Below are 24,708 nucleotides of genomic sequence, written 5' to 3'. Positions count from 1 at the left end.
GGGAGGGCTTGGCTCATTCTTTTAAAAGAATGTCGTATTAGTGGCCGGGCATGATGGCTCATGCCTGTAATCCCAGCACTTTGGGAAGCCCAGGCCGGTGGATCACTTGAGGCTAGGAGTTCGAGACCAGCCTGGCAAAACTCCATGTCTACTAAAAATACAAAAATTAGCTGGGCCTGGTGGCGCATGCCTGTAATCCCAGCCACTAGGGAGGCTGAGGTACGAGAATTGCTTGAACCTGGGAGGCAGAGGTTACAGTGAGCTGAGATTGTACCACTGCACTCCAGCCTGGGTGACAGAGTAAGACTGTCTAAAAAAAAAAAAGCACTGCAATCACATTAGTGAAACTGCATGGGTAAATAAATAATTTATACATAATTATCCATATATTGAAGATGTAAATTCAACCTTCTCACTGATAAATGTAAACAAAGAATTTTAGAGATCCCTCTTCTAAGACCTGAAAGCTTAGCCACAGTCTCTGCCTTGTGTTCTAGCATCACTAACTGTGACCTTGACAAGAAAACAGTCTTTATATCGGATAGAGGTTGAGAGCTGGGAGCGGGGGAAGCACTAGAAAAGAAAAGAACAGGAAGCTCTAAAAGATAACATAACATTAGTTCCTCCAACAAATAAAAGCTCAAATCTTATTGGCTAGTTTCTTTGTCTAATGAGGGTAACAAGCCAGTCTGCTCAGCTGAGCTCTAGAGCCCTCTGGAGGAGTAAAATGCAAAGTGTACAAAATAGGCTGAACTCAGCAAGAAAAATTTCAAAAACATGTTGGATAGCACCTGCTACCTACTGGACTCTCACATTCAGACCTGCTAAAGACCACAGATGATAATTAATTCCAGTGATTTAGACTACAAGCAACAGGTACCTAAAGCTGGTTTAGAAGGAACAACTATAGAAATAAACCATTCCACAACTTCAAGGGTTCTCCATTTGATGAGCACATCAAAATCACCAAGGAAGACTCAAAAGAAAAAATCAGGGTCGGACATGGTGGCTCACGCCTGTAATCCCAGCACTTTGGGAGGCCGAGGCGGGTGAATGACCTGAGATCAAGAGATCAAGACCATCCTGGCCAACTTGGTGAAACCCCATCTCTACTAAAAATATAAAAATTAGCCGGGCATGGTGGCAGGCGCCTGTAATCCCAGCTAATCAGGAGGCTAAGGCAGGAGAATCAATGAAACCCGGGAGGCGGAGATTGCAGTGAGTAGAGATCGTGCCACTGCACTCCAGCCTGGTGACAGAGCAAGACTCCGCCTCAAACAAAAAAAAAAGAAAGAAAGAAAGAAAAGAAAAGAAAAGAAAAAAAATCAATGATGATGGATGCTCAGATCCTGTCCCAGACTTTCCTAGAGTAGAACATCTAGGAGTGAGAGCAGGACTTGGGTATTTCTAATATTTACCCCGATTCATGACGAACCACCAAACTTCTCAGTGACAGCAACAGTGCAAGTATGACACTAAACACTTATCTGCCCCATTTTTCTGTCAGGCTTAACTCTACTTCTAAGTAGGTAACAAACCACTTTGAAGAACAAGTCGCCTCTATCTCACTTCATCAGAAGTGAGCTGGGAAGGAAAGTCCCAAACACATGCAAATCTTTCCAGATTTACGAACTCCCTAACTTAGTCACCTGTTTGTGACATTCTTCTCCAGAGGCTCTCATGTACTTGTGCAGTATCTTACCTCTAAGGAAAGTGGTGGCAGGGGAGGCAAGCATGGTATATTAGTAAGAACAATGGACCAGAAATAAGTCAAAGATCTGGGTGCCACTCACTATTTCAAAAGTGAGGAGAAATAGCCTTAAGGTAGACACATTCAGGACTCAATAACACATTAGGTATAAGCACAAGCTTTGGGAACAGACACACCTGGATTTAATGCCTAGATTTATCTCTACCTGTAATCAGACGCACCTGGATTTAATCCCGGGACTTTACCTAGCCGTAACTGTGAGAACTTTGGCAAGTTTCATATACTCTCAGATCCTTAGTTTCATCTACTCTCAGATCCTTAGTTTCATCAGATATGAAACAAGGGGCCGGGCACAGTGGCTCACGCCTGTAATCCTAGCACTCTGGGAGGCCAAGACGGGTGGATCACTTGCGGTCAGGAGTTCAAGACCAGCCTGGCCAACATGGCAAAACCCCATCTCTACTAAAAATACAAAAATAAGCCAGGCATGGTGGCCCACGCCTGTAATCTCAGCTACTCAGGAGGCTGAGGCAGGAGAATCACTTGAACCCGGAGGTGGAAGTTGTAGTGAGCCGAGATCGTGCCACTACACTCCAGCCTGGGCAACAGAGAGGGACTCCATCTCAAAACAAACAAACAAACAAACAACAACAACAACAAAAATGAGGGCACATTAGTTTGCTAGGGCTGCCACAGACTGGGTGGCTTAAACAATCCTGGAAGCTATAAGTCCAAGACCAAGGTATCAGCAGGGTTTGCTCCTTCAGAGGCCTCTAATTGATTCATAGATGGCTGTCTCTCCTGCTGCCTTCACATGGTCTTCACTCTATGTATCCACGTCCAAATGTCCTTTTCTTATAAGGACGCCAGTCAGATTGGATTGGGGCCCACCCTAATGACCTCATTTGAAGTTAATCACCTCTTTACAGACCTTCTCTCTAAATATAGTCACAATCTGAGGTACTGGGGGGGCAGTTAGGGCTTCAACACAGGAATTCGGGGTCAGAGGACACACCCACAACTCAGCCCATGACAAAGGGTAATGCCTACTGCACAGGGCAGTTTGAGGATTAAAAGTGACAATCCCTGTCAAATGTATAAGATGCAAAGTGCTGGGCACATGGAGAGTGTGCTGATTAATAAACGGTTGCTGCTGCTCTTGGTAGAGCTCACCTAGGAGCTCAGCTCATTTCCCAATTCAATAAAAACGCAGCAGCAGGAAAGAAAGGCCCTCATCCACCCACATTTAATTCCTTTTCTGGGTTTTTTCTAAGAGCTTGGGGAGTCCCTGGTGCTCTCTGTGGCAGTTACAGCTCAGCACAGGTAGTCATGAGTCACAGGGAGCTCAACCCCAGCACAGCACAGAACCTGGGCACAACACAGCCACTACTTCCATAAGCCTCCTTCCACTGGTTTTCAGTTTGCCCCTTTCATCACCTACCTGACTCTTTAATAGTAAAGCTCCTTAATCTACTTTCCTGATCTGGTTCAATACCTTATCACGGTGAGGTTTCATTTGGGTTACAGATGGATAAATTCAACACAAAGACTCACTCTTAAGCTGTTGATAATACAAGTGTACCTTGAGGTAGCAACATGGTATAACTTCCAAGGAACTAGTGCACGTGCAGGCTGTGTTAACTGTAACTAAGGATCCAAATCAAGAAAAGTGGCAGCTTTGTGGTATTTTCTGTAGTGAGTGCCCTTTTCTAGAAGCATTCACAAAGACAAGACAACTGTGCCTTGGAAGGAGCTGGACTACATGGCTTCCAAGTCTGCAACTCAGCAAACATAGCCTTTATGCTTCACATATACTAAACTGTTCACAAAGCATTTCTATAAATTTACTTACCTCTTACTCTTCTCATTAACCCTATGAGGTGGATAGAGAAGTTATTAGCCTCAGTTTAATTAAGCTTGGATTCAGTGAAAGCCAACAGCACAATGCATATGACATCTGGTCCTTAGATTTCTGCTAAAGTGTTCTCTCTTTCTATGCAACGATGCTGCTGTATCAGGCATATAAAAAGTAATTGTTAAAAAGAATCCTCCAGCCTGGGCAACATAGTGAGACCTCATCTCTACAAAAAGTACAAAAATTAGGTGGGCGTGGTAGTGCCCGTCTGTAGTCCCAGCTACTTGGGAGGCTGAGGTAGAAGGATTGCATAAGCCCAGCAGGTTGAGGCTGCAGTGAGCTGTGACTGTGCCACTGCACTACAGCCTAGGTGACAGACCAAGATCCTGTCTCAAAATAAAATAAAATAAAATAAAAAGTTGGGTGGGTGAGCATGGGTGGATCCTAGGCTGAGCACAGTGGCTCATCCCAGCACTTTGGGAGATTAAGGTGGGAAGATCACCTGAGCCCAGGAGGCAGAGGTTGCAGTGCACTGAGATCGCGCCACTGAATTCCAGCCTGGGAGACACAGGGAAACCCTGTCTCAAAAAAAAAAAAGAATCCTAAAATGTTACCCTGTCTATCTTTCTTCTACCTACCTAAAAAGCAGGGCATCATGGTGGCATCCTTATAACACAGTTACCATTTGTAGAGCATCCCTTATGTGCCAGATATATTACATGCAGAGGAAAAGCCAAAATTGTACAGGCTTGCAAAGGCCTACCCATCTGGGCCCCTGTCCTGCCACCTCTCTCACCTCATTTCTCTGTCCACGTCTCCGTGCCAGCCATACCGGCATCCTTGCAGCTCTCAAGCAGGTGCCCACCCTGGACATTCACAGTTCATATTCCCTCTGCTTTTGCTCCAGATACCCATGTGTATCCTCAGCTCTTCCAAATCTTGGCTCCAGTGGTGCCTTGTTAAGACTTTTCTAACTGTCCTGTTAAACTGCACCTCTACCACACGCCAACACTCCTATTCACCCTTTATTTTCTTTTTGTTTTCCTTCAGAATATTCATCACCATTTGCCATATATGATTTACCTTATTTTTTAAGTGTTTCTATTCCTACCAGAAGTAAACTAAATTAGAGTAGAACATTTTAAGTTCTTGTTTACTGCTATAACCTTAGTGCTGTAAGCGTGCTTTGCACACAGTAAGTGCCGAATGAAAATATTTGTTGAATGAGTAAATATTATCTCAAAAGTAACAATAATTCTGTCAGGTAGGCCTTATCCCCATTTTAAAACTGTAAAAACCAATGCTGGGAAAAGTGAAGTGACTTGCTCAAGATCACATGATAAGTGACTAATCTAGCTTTAAATCAAGTGCTATTTGTCTCTACAATCACACGCCATGTACCACACCATGCTGTCTTCCTCCTGAACAGAAAACTGCAGACTGTGAGAAGCAAATTCTCAGACAGGGAGAAATGCCTGATCCTGATGTCTCTGACAGGCAGCTTACAAAACGACTTGAGAAATCTAAATCTTGTATGGCTTCAGGAACCGCCTGATCCAGTGCTACACGCACAGACCAGATTTTCTCCCCACATACACACAACAAATGTTCTGCATCTTGCTTTTTCTCTTTGGAGATTTTTTTCTTCATATTACATATTACTGTCTCATTCTCTTCTGCAGAGACAGGGTCTTGGTTTGTGCCCTAGGCTGGTCTTGAACTCCTGGCCTCAAACAATCCTGTTGCCTCAGCTTCCCAAAGTGCTGGGAATCATTCTCTTTAATAACTGCAGAGTACAGCATGGTTTAGATAGAGCATAATTTAACCAATCCCCTAATGGTGGACATCCAAGTTGTTTCCAGTCATACTGCAATGAGCATCTTTGCACATGACCTGAAACACATGACTAAGGAAAAGTTGATTCACAGGAATATAGATCCAGAGGCAAGCTGCCTATGTTTGAGGTCCAGCTAAGCCACTTACTTGTGACCCTGGTTGCTTAACCTCTCTGTGCCTATGAAAATAGTAATACCTAATTCATAAAGTCATTGTGAGAAATAAGCAAATTACTATATGTAAATTCCAGAATAGTGGCTGGCTCAGGATAAATTGCATGGCAGGGGGCGGACGGTACTGGGAAAAAATGAAGGCAATGTGGGACTGGAGGTAAAAAGACAAACAGCAGGTTTGAGAAGAAAGATATGAAGGATAAAGATAGATTTGAGCTTTTAGAAAAGGATGAAAGACACACTAGGAGACAGAATAATAATACCACCACCACCATCACCCAACATGAGATTTTCACATAGGAGAAAGTCCTCGGTAACAGAAAAGACAAGAAAGAAAGTAGCATCCTAAGGGGAAATCTAGGTTTTCTTTAATACAGAAAGTGGAGACTTCTGCAAATAGCATGTGTATGTGGCGAGGAGGGTGGGGGAAACTGTTAAGGAAAAAGGATTCCAGAGGGTACGGTGAGGAGGGGAATCAATAATAAAGAAACCGAAGCGGATATAAAAGAAAGGAGAACAGGAGGATGGCTTACCTTCCTCTCAGAAATGAAAGGCAGAGTTGGAAGTGACTGGCCTCAAAGAGTGCCACTTTCAGGGCGAGTGTGGTGTCCTAGACCCAGCAATGGTCACAGAGGCCCTGGGGATAGGCTAAGGCTGCCTCCAAAGTTTGGGGTGCTGTGTCACAGGTCCTGAAAAGGGGCTCTCTCTCACTCTGGTTAGACATAAGGGCAAGTGCTCTACCAAGTAAGTAGTAGTATTTATTCATCTACAAGACTTTTAAAATATGGATACTCAGCCGAGAAGAATGGTCAACACCTACAGTCCCAGCATTTTGAGAGGATTTCACTTGAGCCCAGGATTTTGAGACCAGCCTGGGCAACAAAGTGAGATCCTGTCTCTACAAAATAATTTAAAATTAGCCAGGCATGGTGGTATATGCCTTTAGTCCCAGCTACTCAGGAGGCTGAGGCAGGAGGATCGCTTGAGTCCAGGAGGCCAAGGCTGCAGTGAGCCATGTTCATGCCACTGCACTCCAGCCTGGGTGACAGAGCAAGACTCTTATCTCAAAAAAAGAAAAAAAAGAAAAAGAAAAACATACTTTTCAGCCACAGATCCACTTTAAGGCTTCAGGGCATACAATATGAAATGGTGTCTTAAATGATGGATTCTATAAGGTAGCATGGGAGCTTCAGCATTCTTTAAATTGATCTACATCTGTGTCTCAAGTTGGGCTAAACAAATCAAAGCAATTCAGGTGTACTTCTCACACCAATCAGCCGCCAAGAACAGAATGTCAGATAAGGTACAGTCAGACCAGCACATTTTAAAGCATTTTTAGCTGAGGGTCATTATCCAGCCAGTAAGATCCCCTGTCGGCAGGGATCACTGACCAACTGGAGTAGAATGCACCCTCAAATTTTGTCAACAGGTGGCAGCATTTATAATTTTTCCATTTAGAGAGAATTACAAGTTGAAGTATGCTTTTACATTTACTAAAAGTAACACTCCAAGAAAGGCTTTCTAAATGACTGACTAGCGTTATTCTAGGTTCCTTAATTAGCCCATTCCAAATGTGAATATATTCCATTAATTGTTGAAGAAGTAGAAATGCCAAGAGCTAACGTAAAATAAAGATCATGTTTAAGCATGGACTGCTTGCTTTCCTCCCTTTAGCTCCTCAGAGGGTCTGTTCCACCGCATGCTTTATCATGCTTCCACACCAGACTATCGCTATCCCTCATCCCCTAACCAAGCCTAGAAAAGCTGCTCACTCTTTTCATTCAAACAGCCAATCCAGATTGAAAGCTGAAATTTTATATTTTTAAATTTCTTCCAGAATCTGTCTTGTTATATCACTAATTATGACATCTACAGGTTGTTTTTTTTAAGACCCCCCCCACAAAATATTTACTAAGTGCAGTGAGATATCATTAAATTCCTGACTGGTATTGTGTTCCCAGCAGTGCTGGCCACTGGGCCTTGGCACCTGCTCCTCCCAGCCATGCCAAGAACCCAAGGAAGGGCAGCTGAAGCAGGAGGTGCTGCGGCAACAAGCTGAGGCAGTGGTGGGGAATAGAAAGTAGGACACTTCTGTTTTTCTAATTTGGAGCGCATTCACTCTGCAGGAAGGGTGCAGAGCCAGAGTCCACCACCACGTTCCCAGGCAGCAAAGCAAGCCCTCCGCCTGATGGAAATGAAAGGGCAGTTCAGAAGGGCAACTTCCAACATCCGCCTGGGTTTGGCAGCTTGTGAAAAGGCTATGCGACATCAGCCCCCTTCCTACCTCCATTAAGATCTGGAGCTAACATAGTTGCTTCGGACCGCCCATCTCTTCCCAGTTGTTGAATAAGTAAGAACCAAGTTACAAATGCAAGCCATTGTTCATGACAATCAATCACTGATGATTAGCTTAAAGTTGAAAGCAGGTGGTTGGTTATTCTTCCACAGCCTTCCCTAGCCCAGGAGTTCAAATCACTCACATCACCAACTGGAAGCCTTAGTAGCAAATTAATTACCACCAAAACCTGCTTCATAAAGGCCTTTTCTCTCTCCTATCGTATACTTTCCTTATCTGTTTACACAATGTTTATTTGTACATGTATCAAAGACCTCCATATTCCATGTCATCCAGTTATTATTAACAGATGGTGAAAAGAAGCAGCAGCTGTCCTACTACGAAAAAGTAAAAAAACAACAAATGCCAGCAAGGTTGCAGAGAAACAGGAACACTTACACACTGCTAGTGGGAATGTAAATTAGTGCAGCCACTGTGGAAAGCACTGTGGAGATTTCCCAAAGAACTTACGACTATCAGCAAAACTATTATTGGGTATACACCCAAAGGAAAATAAATTGTTCTACCAAAAAGACACATGTACTTGTATGTTCATCACAGTACTATTCACCATAGCAAAAACATGGAATCATCCAAGATACCCATCAATGATGGACTGGATAAAGAAATGTGGTATATATTCCATATACCATGGAATACTATGCAGCCGTAATAAGAATGAGATCATGTCCCTTGTAGCAACATGGATGCAGCTGGAGGCCATTAGCCTAAGAGAACTAACTCAAGACCAGAAAACCAAATACCATGTGTTCTCACTTATAAGGGGTAGCTAATCATTGAATACACATGGGCACAAAGGTGGGCACAGCAGACAACAGGGACTGCTTGAACCAGGACCAGGGTGCAGGTTGGAAAGCTACCTATCAGGTACTACGCTACCTTGGTGACAGGATCATCTGTACACGAAATTTACCCGTGTAACGAACCTGCACATGTATCCCCTAAACCTAAAATGAAAGTAGAAGGAAAAAAAAAAAAAAAACAGCAGCTGTGCTCCAGATGTCAGCAACTGAAGTTTATGCTTCCTCCTACCACTCTGTGAGCCCCACACTCCCCACAGTGCTGAGAGCTCTAGAACCCACTTCCTGCTCATGGCAGCTTCCTGGGACACTAGTTATAGATCCCAGGGTTTAAGAGATTTGAAATAAGTGGGTCCTGCCCTCAGGAAGCTTATAGGTTAATAGAAAAAGACCCCAAAGCTGAGATGGGAGGACTTCTTGTGCCCAAGGGACTGAGGATGCAGTGAGCTGTGATCGTGCCACTGCACTCCAGCGTGGGTGACAGGGCAAGATAGAGGCAAGAAGGGAGGTAGGGAGGAAGGGAGGAGGAAGGAAAAGAAAGAAAAAGAAAAAGACTTTAAAAACCTAGATATGCTACAATCACTACTTGGTGATCCACTGATAAGCAGAAGATAAGTACTCCAGAAAATTTGGTTTTAAACCACAAGTGTGCATCTTCAAAGAGGCTTAGGGAAATAAAAGATAAATTCCTTTCAGGTAGGAATTCTTGGGGAAATTCCCAAATGGCTTCACTGAGATCCTCTGGGATCATCGCGAGGATTTTTCCTGAATAAAGACACAGATAAAACTGTTACCTTATAACCCTTGTTCTTAAGTAAGTTATACTAAAATCACTGAGCCCTTTTCCCATAAGGGAAAATGCATATTCCATTGAGGAAGGAGCTGTCATCTACAAACCCCTTGCTTAAAGCCTCTTCTGTTTAAGAATTCTGCGTGGTTTGTTTCTTTTGTTTTGTTTGAGACAGGGTCTCGCTGTCACCCAGGAAGGAGGGCAGTGATGCGATCATAGCTCACTGCAATCTCTAACTCCTGGGCTTAAGGGTTCCTCTTGCCTCAGCCACCCCCCACCCAAGTAGCTGGACTACAAGCAAACATCGCCACACCTGGACATTGGTTTTGTGTGTGTGTGTTTGTGTGTGTGCGCACGCACGTGCACACACGCACACGCAGATGGGGTCTGGCTTTGTTAACCAGGCTGGACTCAAGTGATTCTCCTCTTTGGCCTCTCAAAGTGCTGGGATTATAGGCACAAGCCACCGCGTCCGGCCTGCTTGCTTGTTCTTTGAATATAAGTCCCCATACACAAATTAGGGGAAAACCGGTCCCACTGTATCTCAATTAAGACTAAAGAAATTTGTAAATGATTTCACCATAGGCCCATATTTTTATCCCCAGAAAAGTAACAGAATTCAAGTATACCTTCTAAAGGCTCAGCTACAGATTGCAGGCATGACCTGTCTGCAACTGGATGTACAAGTCTTTACTATATGCCAAGCACTGTTATAGGTACTGGCAATATAGCCATGAACAAAATGGATATAACCTGTGCTTTCTGGGGCCTGCACTGGGGGTGGAGGGATAGGGGAGGAATGGAAAATCGAATATGCTCATAAATACATAATGTCACATTATAATAATGTAAGGAGAGTGACGTAGGTAGACAGAATGGTACAAGACAGACCTTCTGAGGAAGGGTTATCTGTGTAGGGATCTGTATCCAGCGATCCACACGGATATCTGGAGACAGGGCACTGCCGGTAGAGGGAACAGTAAGTGCAAGGGCCCACAGCACAGGTGCATGGCACATACAGGTTGAAAAATAATCAAACAGTTATGGAATATAAACAAAGTTTCATTCTCTCCTGCCCTCAAAATAAAAGATATGAGTGTGCCTGAAAGTAGAAGGAAACACAGAAGCAAGAAAAATTTAAAGTATAAAGACAAAAAATAGTCAATAGAATATCCAATATAACTAGTATTATTGAAATAGAAATCTGAACAAATGACAAAAAGGATATAACACAGGAAAACTTCCCTGAAAGGAAAGAACTGAATTGCAGATCAGGAGGATACACTCTATATAGGACATAAATAAATAACAACAACATCAAGTTATTCTACTGACTTCAAGTATGAAGAAATAACTCTTTAGAAAGTCTATACGGGGTGAAAAAAAATCACCTTGAAACAGGTGGAAAAGGGCTGTGCATAGTGGCTCACGCCTGTAAATCCAAGTACTTTGGAGAGCTGAGGCAGGAAGATTGCTTGAGCCTAAGAGTTCAAGACCAGCCTGGGCAACATAGCAAGACCCTGTCTAAACAAAAAATAAAAAACTAGCTGGGCACAGCAGCATACACCTGTAGTCCTAGCTACTTGGGAGGCTGAGGCGGGAGGATCCAGGAGTTTGAGAGTGCAGCAAGCTATTAACACGACTGCACCATCGCACTCTTGCCTGGGTGCCAGAGCAAGACCTGTCTCTATTTAACAAATAAAAATAAAATAAAATGGGGAACCAGGCCAGAAGAAAATGTAACAATGGTTGCAATGTTTTGAAAGACACAAGAACAACTCAAAAATATCAGTTAGCTAATTTTAAAAAATTAGACATTCTCAAACATATTATGAGCTCTTCTGCAGGGAGGGGAGAGGAGGGAGGGACGAAAAAAATATCCAGCAAAATCCAGTCAACCCAGTGTTGAATGAAAAAGCTGTGTTAAACAGCAGTGCACCTTTACTCAGATACAGTTCACGTACCATACAATTAATTCATTTAAAGTGTACATTTCAATGATTTCTAGTATATTCACAGAGATATAACCAAGAGATTAATCAAAATAAAATGAGTAGAGGTGGGTAAAAGAACCAGTGCACAGAATTCACCTAAATTTTTTTAATGTAAGAAACTGAGGAATTACATTTGCAGAAGAAAACTGTAATAAATTTTTAATGACAAAAGCCAACAAAAACTGGGAGAGATGAAGGGTAAGAGGAGGTTAAAGGAAGTATAAGTTCCCTCAGGGTTCACTGTGGAGACAATGCCTCCTGTCTAAATTTGAAATGTGAATTTAAAACAAAAGAAAACAAATATGTCAGTCTCCCAGTGGCTTTTATAATGTTGAAGAGCTCTCACAGGAATTAATATCCTTGGTGATGAACAAAGATTTATCTGAAGCTCCGTAATAACTCCTTCAGGTTCACTTTAGTTTTGTTACTGTTAAATTTGAGTAAAATTAAGGCTAGGTATGGTGGCTCACGCCTGGAATTCCAGCACTTTGGGAGGCCAAAGCGGGTGGGTCACTTGAGGTCAGTAGTTTGAGACCAGCCTGCCCAATATGGTGAAACCCTGTCTCTATCAAAAATGTAAAAAATTAGCCAGTCACGGTGGTGCGTGCCTGTAATCCCACTACTTGGGAGGCTGAGGCAGGAGAATCGCTTGAACCCAGGAGGTGGAGGTTGCAGTTAGCAGAGATTGTGCCACTGCACTCCAGCCTGGGCGACACAGCGAGACTCCATGTCAAAAAAAAAAAAAAATTCAGTAAGATTAAATACTTTTTTAAAGCATATAAAGTCTGATGCCTTCTTACACATTTCCATCTACATATGCGCACAGAGAGGTATCTAGAATGATGCTTTTCAACTGTTCACCCTGGTTGTTTCTGGCTGGTGGAATTTCAGGTGATTTGTTGCTTTCCGTTGCATTTTTCCATATGGCTTGGATGTTTTATAGTGATCATGTATTACAGAAAAAGATAAAATTAAATTCTCTGCAGTTTTCCACATCTCATTCTCCCTTTAGCCCTAATCAACCTGTCCATCTCTCCAAAATCTGGGTTCTCTTACTGGTGACAGGACAATCAAGAGTTTTACATTGTTTTGTTTTACATTACTACACAAGGTTTAATGGAGGAGGGGTGATTTTTTTTTTCTTTGAGATGGAATTTCACTCTCATTGCCCAGGCTGGAGTGCAATGGCACGGTCTCAGCTCACTGCAACCTCCGCCTCCCAGGTTCAAGCAATTCTCCTGCCTCAGCCCTCCCAAGTAGCTGGGATTACAGGTGCACACCACCACGCCTGGCTAATTTTTGTATTTTTAGTAGAGATGGGGTTTCACCATATTGGTCAGGCTGGTCTTGAACTCCTGATCTCAAGTGATCCACCCACCTCGTCCTCCAAAAGTGCTGGGATTACAGATGTGAGCCATCGCGCCAGGCCAAGAGGGGTGGTTTTATGCTTTGCCCAAATGTGCTTTATGAGGGGTGAATATGTTGATCCTTATTCATTAGAATGACAGTATTTTTTGTGAAGTTTCTCAGTAAGTTATTATTGAAATGTTAAGTCCTAACATCTATGTAAGTATCAAGGTATTTCTATTGGAGCTTAAAATCAATTATAATAAATAATAATATCAAATGTCTACCATTTGATGACCTATTTTCCAGAACTCCACTAAGAGTTTTACATTTGTTAGTCAATCCTCACAAACCTATGCCATGAACGTGCTAATTTCATGGATGAAGAAAAAGAATCCAAGAAAGAAAACTTTGCTTGCTCAAGACTATACAACTCGGCACAGTGGCTCATGACTGTAATCTCAGCACTCTGAGGGGCTGAGACAGGAGGATTGCTTGAGGATAGGAGTTCAAGACTAGCCTGGGCAACATAGCAAAATCCCATTTCTACAACAAGTTTTAAAATTGGCCAGGCGTAGTGGCCTGCATCTGTAGTCTCAGCTACTCAGGGAGCTGAGATGGGAGGATCAATCACTTGAACCCAGTTTGAGGCTGCAGTGAGCTATGATGGTGCCACTACACTCCAGTCTGGGTGACAGAGCACAACCCCATCTTAAAAAAAAAAAAAAAAAAAAAAAGACTACACAGCAGCTTGTAAGTTACAGACTGATATTCAGGTCTGATTCATAAACCCATGCTTTTTCTATCATGTTAATGTCTTCTTAGCATCATGGTTTGTGCATTGTAAGTGCACAATAATTATTATTAAATTAGCAATTAGCAAAGTATGCCCTCAAATGCCTTGAATGATGCTTTGTAATGAATTTTCTTAATTCATCCAATTCCCAGGAACTGGATGAATTACCTGTTTCATAAATTAGGGAAGCAGGTTCTCCTAACACCTAAACTTAGGAGTTGAAGTATTTCATCCTGTACCTTACTTTATCAACTTCTAATTAAGCAGCAATGGCAAATGGGCTAGGTGCATCTGAACATGTAAGTCAAGACACACCCAAATACAGAGAAACCACAGTTTAATGTCAAATGTAGATCTAAATTTAAAAGGTTAATAATCCAGTTAATTTTTATTTTATTTTATTTTATTTTTGAGACGGAGTCTCACTCAGTTGCCCAGGCTGGAGTGCAGTGGCGCGATCTCAGCTCACTGCAAGCTCTGCCTCCTGGGTTTGTGCTATTCTCCTGCCTCAGTCTCCTGAGTAGCTGGAACTACAGGCGCCTGCAACCACGCCCGGCTAATTTTTCGTATTTTTAGTAGAGGTGGGGTCTCACCGTGTTAGCCAGGACGGTCTCAATCTCCTGACCTTGTGATCCACCCATCTCAGCCTCCTAAATTGCTAGGATTACAAGCGTGAGCCACCACGCCCGGCCAATCCAGTTAATTTTTAAATGTTGGAAGTAGAGTTTAAAAATATGTTGTTCACACTTTTAAACTCAAAGTTTTAAATTTTACTTTTAACTCCCCCTCATTTTTAATATTAACTTTGATGCTTACTCAACTCCCTGTTTCTAAATTTCATGAAAGGTTAACTTTTGCCCCTGTCCACTTGTCCAGCCTCATCTGCTCATATTTTTAGCTCCAGGGTTACCCAACTACTTGTGGTTTCCAGAATACACCATGTTGTTTCATACCTCTAGAGCTTTTCCATGTGATCTTCCCTCCCTCTAAAATGTGCTTCATTCCCACCTTCCAATTATGGTTCTGGGTGTCAGCTTCTCCAGGAAGCCTTCCTAATACCTGCCTCCCTCACCTTCAAAAGAGGGTCAGTTACTTCCCTCTCTGCGCCAGCCATCACCTTTCACTCTCTCTTCACTGGTGCTCCCAAGACCCTACCTATTCTGCAACCATTTGTGCGGCACTCCTGGACTATGAGGTCAGGAAGCATGCTACTCCCTCTTGGGAATGACGGATGCCTAGCTTATCAAGACACAAAAAATGTATACTCAATTTGTTTATTGATCCATGAACCAAGCTTTGCTAGGGTCCAGTCAAATATGTGTATACATATGTTTTCCATATTGTCCCCTTAATGTTCCTTAATGTTAAAATCTAGTCAATCTCTGAGACACACATAAGATAAGCCACCATTGTCTACTATACTGTGGTACAACTGTTCCTCACCCCAAAGCAGCAGTCAGTTCAATCAGAAGAAAAACACTGGAAATGGACATGGAGGACACGAACGCAGGACAGAATCTATAACAAATGAGAAAGAGAAGAGATCCAAGGCTTTATCATGTTTTTCAGTCAGCTACTCTGAGCTCATATTGACAGCAAGGGTGCAGAACGTAGGAAAAGTCACTAAGAGAAAAAGTGAGTTATCAGGGTTTTGATTTAAATTAAAGAAATTAAAGATAACCCTCACTGCCTAGGGTAGCAAAAAAGCTGAAAACTGGCTGGGCCTGGTGGCTCACACCTGTAATCCCAGCACTTTGGGAGGCCGAGGTGGGCAGATCACGAGGTCAAGAGATGGAGACTATCCTGGCCAACATGGCGAAACCCCGTCTCTACTAAACATACAAAAATTAGCTGGGCGTGGTGGCACTGCCTGTAGTCCCAGCTACTTGGGAGGCTGAGGCAGGAGAATCGCTTGAACCCAAGAGGTGGAGGTTGCAGTGAGCCAAGATCGCGCCATTGCACTCAGCCTGGGACAGAGCGAGACTCCGTCTCAAAAAAAAAAAACAAAACCCAGCTGAAAACACCACTGGATTCTGAGTATCAGGAGAGCCAGGCCCCACCTAGTCTCTTTGTTGCTCTACTGTGGTGTCTGGCACACAGCTGCTGATCAATAAATACTTATCGAAAATTATGAATGCTTAGCACCAGAAGAAATGCATGCGATCACCTGGGAGCATTAACAAAGGAGTTGCAATAGCTTCAGTGCAATCAGCAGCTAGATACAAAGTCTGATCAGGCTGTGTACTTTGGATAAAGTGTGTAAGAAGATGGCAGTGTGCTAAAATTTCAGGTCACATGTCACCCAAATGTCTCTTCATAACTTAACCCCACTGAATAGTGGTATTTCCTGTGTAATTCAACCAGTATTACTCTGTTTAGAAAACTGTTACCTAGACCGGGCACGGTGGCTCACGCCTGTAATCACAGCACTTTGGGAGGCTGAGGTGGGCAGATCACCTGAGGTCAGGAGTTTGAGACCAGCCTGGCCAACAGAGTGAAACCCCGTCTCTACTAAAAATACAAAAAATTAGCCAGGCATAGTGGCAGGCACCTATAATCCCAGCTACTCAGGAGGCTGAAGCAGGAGAATCACCGGAGCCCGTGACGCAGAGGTTGCAGTGAGCCAAGATCGCACCATTGCACTCCAGCCTGGGCAGCAAAAACAAAATTCTGACAAAACAAAACAAAACAAAACAAAACAAAAACCTGTTACCTAGTCTTATGTGAAGTAGATACACTTTCTTCTTATTGCCCATCTTCTTCTAGCAGTCATGTGGTCTCTCTTAGTGCACTATTTAACTTGAAATTAATTATATGTCTACAAATTATTTTATTTGAGAATATCCAAATACTTATCATGTTAGAAAGTACGAGTATCTCTAATAGGAAAATCTGAAATCTGAAATGCTCCAAAATCCAAAATTTTGAGTGCCAACTTGATCCTCAAAGAAAATGCCTATTGGAGCATCTCAGATTTTGCATTTTTTTGGATTAGAGATACCCAACCAGTAAGTATAAGGCAGACATTCTAAAATCCAAAAAATCTGAAATCCAAAATACTTCTGGTCCCGAGCATTCTGGATAAGAGATACTCAAGCTATATAATCAAACATAGGTCTTGGGTTTTACAATTCTTTCTTCTAACATGATAAAAATTGTCAAACCTACTTTACAACACAAACTTAAAGACACAGCATTCAGGGGAACACTGTTACAGTTATCTGGTTACAAATTTTTTTTTTCTTTTTTGAGATGGAGTCGCCTGGGCTACTGCACTGTCACCTGGGCTAAAGTACAGTAGCACGATCTCGGCTCACTGCAACCTCCGCCTCCCAGGTTCAAGCGATTCTCCTGCCTTAGCCTCCCGAGTAGCTGGGACTACAAGCGCCCACCACCACGCACAGCTAATTTTTTGTATTTTTAATAAAGATGGGGTTTCACCATGTTGGCCAGGCTGGTCTCGAACTCCTGACCTCGTGACTCGCCCACCTCGGCCTCCCAAAGTGCTGGGATTACAGGCGTGAGCCACCGCACCCAGCCCAAAAATAATTTTTTTATGCAAACCAAACTCAACAAATAACTGCTGATCCTTCATGCAAACACACAGTAAAGAAATGCCTTGATCAAACTCTACCTTCAAAGTCCAGGGGGGAAAATGCCAACAAAGAAAATAACATTCATCTAAGGGTCACTGCCCAAATTCTTTTTTTTTTTTTTTTTTGAGGCGGAGTCTCGCTCTGTTGCCCAGGCTGGAGTGCAGTGGCACAATCTCGGCTCACTGCAGCTTTGACCTCCCCAGGTTCAGGCTCAGGTGATCCTCCCACCTCAGCCTCTGACAAGCTGTGAGTATAGACAGGCATGCACCACCATGCCCAGGTAATTTTTCTATATTTTTGTAGAGAGGGCTTTCATCGTGTTGCCCAGGCTGGTCTCAAACTCCTGGGCTCAAGTGATCCTCCTGCCTCTGTCTCCCAAACTGCTGGGATTACAAGCATAAGCTACCACACCCAACTGTCTCCTCAAATCAGAATTTTGGATGATGAAAAAAAAAAAACTGTCAGGCATATTTACATTGTCTTGGGGCATGGATAGAGTTTCCAAAAATGTAGCGCTAAGACTAATCTAAACACACACCCATCTTTTTTCATGCAATCATTTTGACCAAAAATGCCACTCCTTACTTGCAAAAATCATTCCACTTACCTCTTGGAACACCTCACCTGTACCATGTGTGGCTGAATATATGTCTCTGAACCCTCCTATGTCAGGAGCTCCCTGACAAGCTTAGTCTACCTCTAATCCTTCTTTTCCACACATTCTTCTTCACTGTCACCAGCCTAGTGCAAAGTTAGTCATACTTGCACTTTATTCACTTTAGAAATATTCAGGACCCATTAGATATAATAATGCTTACTGAATGAACAGAGCTACAATGAGAGGGGCAAATCATGGTTATGTCAAGAAGAACAATCCCAGTGAGGAACCAAACATTTTAATTGTGCAATCCACATTTGGCAGGCATAGATGGCCACAGCACCCTAGTAGAGCTCCACAAATTTTACAACTATTCTTCATTCTTTAGAAATCACCACAATTGCTTTAAACTTTCCATTCAAGATACCAGAATATACATCACTGCCTTAGTAACAACCTGAGATAGAAGGGTTATGTGGCTATGATTTTTCACGGCTAAATATTTAAAGATAAATGACTAAGATAAACTACTGCCCTCCTACACATAAACACATACACACAGGAAGAAAAAGCTGTTTTTTTAATTATGAAAGCAGAATTCTTCAGTAACCTTCTAAACAAATCTATTATACACTTTATTCTTGAAAGATACCCTAGACTCACAAGGGCAACAGAAGAAAAAAAATTACCCTTGGCATTTCCTAAAAGATGTGATTCAGAAGATACTGTTGGCTTTTTTCTATAGACATATGTCGCCCAGTGGGATGTGACACTCCTCAGAGGTCTGAATCAGAAGGAAAAATGTGGAGAGGATAAGGTCAGAGTTGTTATGTACTAGCCTCGTATGGTAAAACACATTCGCAAAATCAAGGCAAAATACTCTGGCTCCAGCATCTATAGTTTAGTTTCTGATCATACACCTACACCAAGGGCTCTAAGTGAGTGCGTAGCCAGGAACATCTCAAGTCTGAAATCATTTAGCTCTCAGGGAAAATAGACACAAACACTGCACACATTCAAACAACTCTGACTTATGCTAAAAACAGAATTACCTTCAGAAAGCACTTGTTAGTGTTCAACATTGCACAGAATGAAACAAACAAACCAGGTTCTAAATACAACTATGGACAAAATGATGACTCTCGTGCTAAAGGTTATCATTATTACCAATGAAAAGGATTAAATTACATTTCATTTACAATTCCAAAATTTAAGGTTGTTTTCTACAAAACCAAACTTTGAAATACCAGTTTAAAATATTTTGATAGTTACCCCTAAAATCATATGGCAGATAATTCTACTACATCTTGGTACATAAAGATAAATTAGAACCGATTTGGGGAACTTCTAGATTACTATTTCAAGGCACAAGTAAGCAGGCAAGTTTAGAAACGAAAAAAAACAGTTACTAATACATCTCTCTCTATGGCTATACCTCACTGCTGGCCTGATGTGGTTTGGCTGTGTCCCCACCCAAGTCTCATCTTTGAACTGTAGCTCCCACAATTCCCACGTGTCATGGGATGAACCTGGTAGGAGGTAACTGAATTATGGGGGCTGGTCTTTTCCGTGCTGTTCTCATGATAGTCAGTAAGTTTCATGAGATCTGATAGTTTTAAAAATGGGAGTTTCCCTGCCAAGCTGTCTCTCTTTGCCTGCTGCCATCCAGGTACGATGTGATTTGCTCCTCCTTGCCTTCTGCCACGATTGTGAGGCCTCCCAAGCCACGTGGAACTGTAAGTCCATTAAACCCTTTTTCTTGTATAAATTACCCAGTCTCGGGTATGTCTTTATCAGCAGTGTGAAAACGGTCTAATATGTGACCCTTTTTTAAAAAAGTGAAAAATTAGCCAGGTGCAGTGGCTCATGCCTGTAATCCCAGCACTTTGGGCAGCCGAGGCAGGCAGATCACTTGAGGCCAGTAGTTCAAGACAAGCCTGGCAAACATGGTGCAACCCCATCTCTACTAAAAATACAAAAAATTAGCCAGGCATGGTGGTGTGCACCTGTAATCCCAGCTACTCAGGAGGCTGAGGAAGGAGAATCGCTTGAACCCAGGAGGCAGAGGTTGCAGTGAACCAAGATATGCCACTGCACTCCAGCCTGGGTGACAGAGAGAGACTCCATCTCTAACAAAACAAAACAAAACAAGAATATTTCTTACCCAACTGGAAAGCACAGTGAAGGGAAGGTAGTGCTGAACTTTTTTTTTAGCAAGAGCAAAGCTGACCAAACCACAGAACACTCACCCTCCCTCCCCTCCCCACATCCCCACTTGGGGTTCCCTTGGCTTGGATCCACTCTACTCATTTCCACCCACCATTTGCAGGATGCCTCTCTACAGCCATATGGACCAAGATGATGAGTCATCTGTCATCAGAATGCCTTTTTCGACCTTTCCACATTCAATCACCTTTAGCACGCTCAACAGGCACGTCCTCCGCAGAGCATGTGCCTGTGTAACATAAGGAGTCTAAAGCTGAACATAGGAACCAGGCATCCCTCGCACTCCACACCTTGCCAAATGGATTTATTCCAGAGCTTTAAAGAAAAATCGCAACTGAAAAAGTGACCAGATGGGTTTTCAAGGAGAAAAATACTAACCAAATCACTTGGGAGGATGACGTACTTCACTAAAACAGGCCTATGATGTCAAAGAACTTCAGTTATTCAACCCTGAGAGGAAGTCATGGCAAAAGCAAGCACTGAAAAGATAGAGAAAACATTCCATAACTGAAACTGACTTTTATTCTGCCTGGCTAAATACTTTTAGAGCTATTTTTGAAGTGAACACTTCAAATAGTCACCCCCACCCAAAAAACTTCAGGACCTGTACACTAGTCACAAAATAATGACAAACACTCATACAGCACTTATATAAGGCAAGCACTCTTTTAAGCACTTTACATATATTTGCTCACTTTGCCCCTCTTTGCTAATTTGTGTTTCATGAGCAACCAGAGGCCCAGGGTCACACAGGCTGCCAGAAAGTGGCAGAGCGGGGATTCAAGTCAGGCAGTCTGGCAGCACCCGGGTCCATGCTCTCAATTATCACACTAACCCTCTTTCCAGGGGAGTTTAACACAGATGATCCTTTTTAAACACAGATTTTTAAGTTCCCTAAAACTATACAAATTCATTTTGCAAGATGAGAAGACTCACAATTTAAAAATGTAAACTAGAGAAATTACTGTTACGTGGTGGCAAAGTCAAAGTTTATCAGTCATGATGAATACCCAGACAAAAAGCACTGGGGGGTGCTATAGTTTGAATGTTCTCTCCAAAACTCATGTTGAAATTTAATTGCCAATTTAAAGGTATTGGGAGGTGGGGCCTTTAAGAGATGATCAGGTCATGAGAGCTCTGCCCTCATGGATGAATTAATGGGTTGGTTATCTCAGGAGTGGGCTCCTGATAAAAGCGTAAGTTTAACCCCTTATTCCCTCTCTTGTGTGAGCCTTCTCATCATGTGTTGCCTTCCAACACACAGCAAGAAGGCTCCCAACAAATGTGAGAACCATCGTCTTACTCTTCCCTGCCTCCAGAACTGTGAGAAATAAATTTATTTTCTTTATAAATTACCCAACCTGAGGTGTTCTGTTATAGCAGCACAAAACAGACTAAGACAAAAAATGGATACCAAGGAGTGGGGCTGTTTCCATAACAAATACCTAAAAATGCGGTCATAGCTTTGGAACCAAGTAATGGGTAGAGGCTGAAGAATTTGGAGGAAGCGGCTAGTAACACCCTAGATTGCCATGAATGATGCATCAAGGGCAATTCTGATGAGGACTCAGAAGAAGAGGGGAGCTGTAGGGAAGGTCTGAATCTTCTTAGAAATTACTCAGTGGGCCAGGCATGGTGTGGCTCACGCCTGTAATCCCAACACTTTGGGAGGCCGAGGTGGGCGGATCATCTGAGGTCATGAGTTCAAGACCAGCCTGGCCACCATGGTGAAACCCTGTCTCTTCTAAAAATACAAAAATTAGCTGGGCATGGTGGCACATGCCTATAGTCCCAGCTACTTGGGAGGCTGAGGCAAGAGAATTGCTTGAACCTGGGAGGTGGAGGTTGCAGTGAGCTGAGATCAGGCCATGGCACTCTGGCCTGGGCGACAGAGACTTCATCTCAAAAAAAAAAAGAAATTACTCAAGTGGTCATGACTGGCATATTAGCAGCAATTGGACAGTAAAGTCCATTCTGATGAGATCTCAGACAGAAATGGAAAAGAACATATTAGAAACTGGAGTAAAGGTTATTCTTGTTATACGGTTACAAAGACCTTGACAAATTTTGTCTGTGCCCTAGGGCTTTATGGACTGCAAAACTTAAGAGCAATGAACTAGGATATGTGGTGGAAGAAGTATCTTAAGCAGTAAAGCTTTCAAGCTGCTGTGTGGTTACTTTTAATTGCATAAAATGCAATGTGAGAGCAAAGAGACAATCAAATACAGTTGACCATTGAAGATACGGGTTTGAACTCTGAGGGCACACTTTATACAAACATTTTTTTCTTTTCTTTTGAAACAGGGTCTCACTCTGTCATCCAGGCTGGAGTGCAATGGTGTGATCATGCCTCACTGCTGCCTCAACCTCTCAGGCTAAAGTGATCCTCTCACCTCAGCTCCCAAGTAGCTGGGATTATAGGCACATGCCACCACACCCGGCTAATTTTTGTCGAGATGAGGTTTTGCAATGTTGCCCACGCTGGTCTCCTGGCCTCAAGTGATCTGCCCACCTCAGCTTCCCAAAGTGTTGGGATTACAGGTGTGAGCCACAACATGGGCCAAGGATTTTTTCAATAAATACAGTCGGGCCTCCATATCACTGGGTTCCACATTCGCAACCAAATGCATACAGTATTTGCAGGATGCAAAACCCTTGCACATGGAGGACTGACTTTTCATACCCATGGGTTCCACAGGGCCGACCGTGGGGCTTGAGTAAGCATGGATTTTGGTATGAGGGAGTGGTCCTGGAACCAATCCCTTCCCACACCCCTTACTGTCAGCAGATACTGAGGGATAACCATATAGTTAAAAGAGAAGCAAAACAGAAGAATTTGGAAAATTCTCGGCATGGCCATGTAAAGAGTGGAAAAGCATGTTCCAGAGGGAATATTAAGTGTGTGGTCAAACAACCTATTGCTAAAGAGATTAGCATGGCTAGAAGGAAGCCAGGTGCTATCAATCAAGACAATGGACAACAGACCTAAAAGGCATTTCGGAGATCTTCCAGACTGCCCCTCCCATCACAGACCCAGAGATCTAGGAGGGTAGAATGGTTTCAGAAGATGGATAGCATTCCTTGGCCTCCTCAACCATAACTCAAACAGCTTCAGGCGTGGCTCCACCTGCTCAGAAAGGGATAAGCCTTGGTGGCATCTCACAGAATGCAAGACCTACAGAGCATGGCTTCCTCCACCTAGATTTCAATGAATGCCCCTGGTAGGCCCAGGCAGAAATCTATTGCAGAACAGAGCCACTGCAGACAGCCCCCATTAGGACAATGCCCAGTGGAACTGTAGGGTCAAGGCTGCCCCAGAGTCCCCACTAGGGCAATGCCTAATGGAGCCATGGGAGTGGGCCACTGTCAACACCCCAGAACTGTAAATCCACCAGTATACAACTCCAACCCATGAGAGCTGCTGAGTGGATTGAACCCAGCAAAGCCACAGAGGGTGGGGCTTCTGAGGCCCTGGAAGCCCAACTCCCATCCCAGTGTGCCCAGGAGGCAGAATATGGAGTCCACAGAGATTATTCCCCATCTTTAAGACTTAATGTCTCCCCTGTTGGATTTTGGACTTATCGGTGACCACCTGCCCCTTTCTTCTTGCCTATTTCTTCCTTTGGAATGGGAATGTCCATCATACACCTTCCTACCATAGCATTTTGGAAGTAGATGACTTGCTTTGATTTCACAGGCTCACAGCTGAAGGGAATTTGTCTCAGGATGAATTGTACTTTATAAGTCTCACCCATGTCTGATTTAGCTTGGACTTTTGAGTTGATGCTAAGTTAAGACTTTGGGGGCTAATAGGATAGAATGAATATATTTTGCATGTGAGAAGGACACGAGTTGTTTTGGAGGGGGAGGTGGGTAGGGGCAGAATGCTAAGGTTTGAATGTCCCCTCCAAAACTCATGTTGAAATTTAATTGGCAATGAAATGTTATGGGAGATGGAGCCTTTAAGAGGTAATTAGGTCACAAAGGCTCTGCCCTCATGAATGAGTTAATGCTCTTATCACAGAAGTGGGTTCTAGATAAAACAATAGGCTCCTGATAAAAGGATAAGTTCGGCTCCCATTCCCTCTCAGAGGCATGCACTTCTTCCCCATTTGATGCCTTCTGCCATGGGATGATGCAGCAAGAAGGCCCTCATCAGATGCTGACACCATGCTCCTGGACTTTCCAGCCTCTAGAACCATGAGAAATAAATTTCTTTTCTTTATAAATTGCCCAGTCCAAAGTACTCTGTTGTAGCAGCAGAAAACAGACTAAGAAAAGGGCTAACTTCTGTGAGTTAAAAGTAGAGTCTAGAGAAATTAACATGCCTAGGTAAGGGCAGAGAGGGTGATGAAAGCTGAGAAACTCAAAAAGCCTGAAAGGCAATAAAAGAAAACCCTGGGGCTGTAGTACCTAACATCAGCCACAACTCCTATCAATTCTTTTTCCTCAATCCACTCTCTTATGAATGGTGCCTCCTTTCCATCCCACTGCTATTATTGCTTAAATTCAGGCCTTCGACATCCCTTAGTCCAGTTATTCCAATGATCTCTGGTTTGTAGTCACAACTCTCCTCCATGCCCCAGCACCTAATCTCTCCTGTGCTGCTAACAGAATAGTCTTTCTGAGA

The 24,708-nt window shown here is 43.0% G+C and overlaps 1 protein-coding gene across 6 annotated transcripts in view, besides 2 other annotated features; it reads right to left on the bottom strand.

The window, feature by feature from the left end:
• The window catches only part of AK4 (adenylate kinase 4), an 84,594-nt gene that overhangs the window by 15,680 nt on the left and 44,206 nt on the right, over nucleotides 1–24,708 (bottom strand). The gene's annotated exons all lie outside the window — the stretch shown is intronic.
• Nucleotides 2,840–2,939: an enhancer, noted in NCBI's record as "active region_1143". NCBI's record gives its function as "activates an Ori minimal core promoter by ATAC-STARR-seq in GM12878 lymphoblastoid cells {active_cell/tissue: GM12878}" and the evidence as "EXISTENCE:reporter gene assay evidence [ECO:0000049][PMID:35858748]".
• Nucleotides 8,929–9,008: an enhancer, noted in NCBI's record as "active region_1142". NCBI's record gives its function as "activates an Ori minimal core promoter by ATAC-STARR-seq in GM12878 lymphoblastoid cells {active_cell/tissue: GM12878}" and the evidence as "EXISTENCE:reporter gene assay evidence [ECO:0000049][PMID:35858748]".

This window comes from Homo sapiens, chromosome 1, assembly GCF_000001405.40.
Source record: "Homo sapiens chromosome 1, GRCh38.p14 Primary Assembly".
Lineage (NCBI taxonomy): Eukaryota > Metazoa > Chordata > Mammalia > Primates > Hominidae > Homo > Homo sapiens.
The sequence above is the reverse complement of the archived record's forward strand: the minus strand, read 5'-3'. Positions and strand labels throughout refer to the sequence as shown.